This window comes from Homo sapiens, chromosome 10, assembly GCF_000001405.40.
Source record: "Homo sapiens chromosome 10, GRCh38.p14 Primary Assembly".
NCBI classification, from domain to species: Eukaryota; Metazoa; Chordata; class Mammalia; order Primates; family Hominidae; genus Homo; species Homo sapiens.
Window position 1 is genome coordinate 110,395,423 of NC_000010.11, and position 2,106 is coordinate 110,397,528.

At 46.1% G+C, this 2,106-nt stretch overlaps 3 annotated features.

Annotated features, from left to right (window-relative positions):
• Window positions 289-583: an enhancer, noted in NCBI's record as "tiled region #10815; HepG2 Activating DNase matched - State 8:EnhW". NCBI's record gives its function as "activates a minimal TATA promoter and a strong SV40 promoter by Sharpr-MPRA in HepG2 cells {active_cell/tissue: HepG2}" and the evidence as "EXISTENCE:reporter gene assay evidence [ECO:0000049][PMID:27701403]".
• Window positions 289-601: a biological region, named in NCBI's record as "Sharpr-MPRA regulatory region 10815".
• Window positions 352-601: an enhancer, noted in NCBI's record as "active region_4018". NCBI's record gives its function as "activates an Ori minimal core promoter by ATAC-STARR-seq in GM12878 lymphoblastoid cells {active_cell/tissue: GM12878}" and the evidence as "EXISTENCE:reporter gene assay evidence [ECO:0000049][PMID:35858748]".

Here is a 2,106-nt window from a genome sequence, read left to right on the forward strand (position 1 = left end):
GATGCAGCTCCGCTGGGAACCCCATCCTGGACAGTGAGGGACCCAAAGCACCTTAAGACCTGGCCCCGAACACACTTCATGTATGTGCAATGTGCGAGGGGGACTGAAGTGCAGGTGGGCTTGGTGACCACCTCAGTCCTCCTTGAACCCCAGGGCCCAGATGCCCTCTTAGATGGTTTCTCACTGGCACCTGACAGGACAGGCAAGGCAAACCTTCTTTCTTATTCCTATTTGGCAGATAAGAAAACCGAGGCTGAAATAAACTCCGTAGCTCTCCCAAGTCATGCTAGGACAGGGGTTGAACTGGGTCCCAGTGACCCGGCTGCTCTGAAGGACAGTGCAGTCCTCCTAAGCCAACTCCCTCCTCTTAAGGGACAAAGAGCGGTAAGTCAGAGCCCTCACTAGAACCCCTCCCACTCTTAGGAAGGTGTTGAAGGGCTGCCAGGGAAAAAAGAAAGAAAAACAACTGCCTGACCTCTGTGTATCGGTCACACCACAGGACTGGAAATTCCCAGGCCACTGAGTAGAAAGCTGCGTCAGCCATGAGGTTTTACAGCCAGCATAGACCCAGGTGATCTCCTGGTTGTGATGCTTGTAAATCAAAGTTGCAAAGGGCAAAGGTCATGTGGGCAGCTCATGGGTTATTTTTAACCTTCTCTCCCTTATCAGTTTTCTCCTTCCTGCTCTCCAGGTGGTTATCGTTAACAGATATGTCTCACCCAGGGTGGGGCCCATCATACCTGGGCTCCAAGGAAAGAAATGAGGGTGTCCCTGGTCCCTGGCACCACCTGACAGAGTGGGGCTGGGCATTTGCAAGAGATTTTAAGGAGGCTCCTTTGTGGATCTCTGGGCTGGCACAAGAGGAAGATCATTCAGGGTGATCCAAATATGGAATGGGCTCCTGGAGAGGGAGGGAGTCCCCATCTGTTATGGGTTGCATTGTGTGACCCTCAAATTCATATGTTGGAGCTCCAACCCCTAGTACTTCAGAATATGACCTTATTTGGAAATAGGGTCTTTGTAGATGTCATTAGTTGAGTAGGTTGGGTCCCTAATCCAACATGATGGGTGTTGCTATTTTAGAGGAGAAATGTGGACCCTGGGAGAACAGCATGTGAGGACAAAGGCAGGGATAGAACCAGGGTGATGGAAAGCATAGAATTCATAACGCTTTTCAGCTATAGAAGCCACAGATCCCAAAAGATGGCCAGCAAACCTCCAGAAGCTAGAGGAGAGGCAGAGCCTCAGAAGGAACCAACACTTTGATTTTGGACTTCCAGTCAGAGACAATAAATTTCCAGAACTGTGAGACAATAAATTTCTATTATTAAAGCCACCCAATCTGTGGGGTTCTCTGTTGCAGCAGCTCTAATGATCTAATACACCATCTTTAGAGGTGTCTGCTGAGGCTGCGCTGCTACTTGGCAGGGATATTGTCCAGTAGAGACATTATGCTAGCCACGTATATAATTCAAAATTTTCTAGCCGGGCATGGTGGCGTGCACCTGTAGTCCCAGCTACATAGGAGGCTGAGGCGGGAGGATAACTTGAGCCCAGGGGTTCAAGGCCAGCTTTGGAAACATAGGGTGACCTTGTCTCTAAAAAAGAAAAACAAATAATAAGTAAAATAAAAATGTCTAGTAGCTACATTTAAAAAGCAAAAAGAAACAGATGAAATTACAGTTGACCCTTGAACAATGAGGGGATTAGGGGTGCCAACCCCTATGAGGTCAAAAATCCAAGTATAACTTTGACTCCCCCAAAACTTGACTATAACTAGCCTGCTATTGACCAGAAGCCTTGCCATTAAAAAAGAAAATGTTATTAAGAAAATTATAAGGAAGAGAAAATATATTTACTCTTCATTAAATGAAAGTGGTTCATCATAAAGGTCTTCATCCCTGGCGACTTCACATTGAATAGGCTGAGGAGGAAGAGGAGGGGTGGGTCTTGTCTCAGGGACAGCAGAGGTGGAAGAAAATCTGTGTATAAGTGGACCCTCTCAATTCAAACCGTGTTGTTCAAAGGTTAACCGTAATTTTAATGATAGATTTTATTTCATCCAATATATCCAAAATATTATTTCAACATGTAATAAGTACTAAC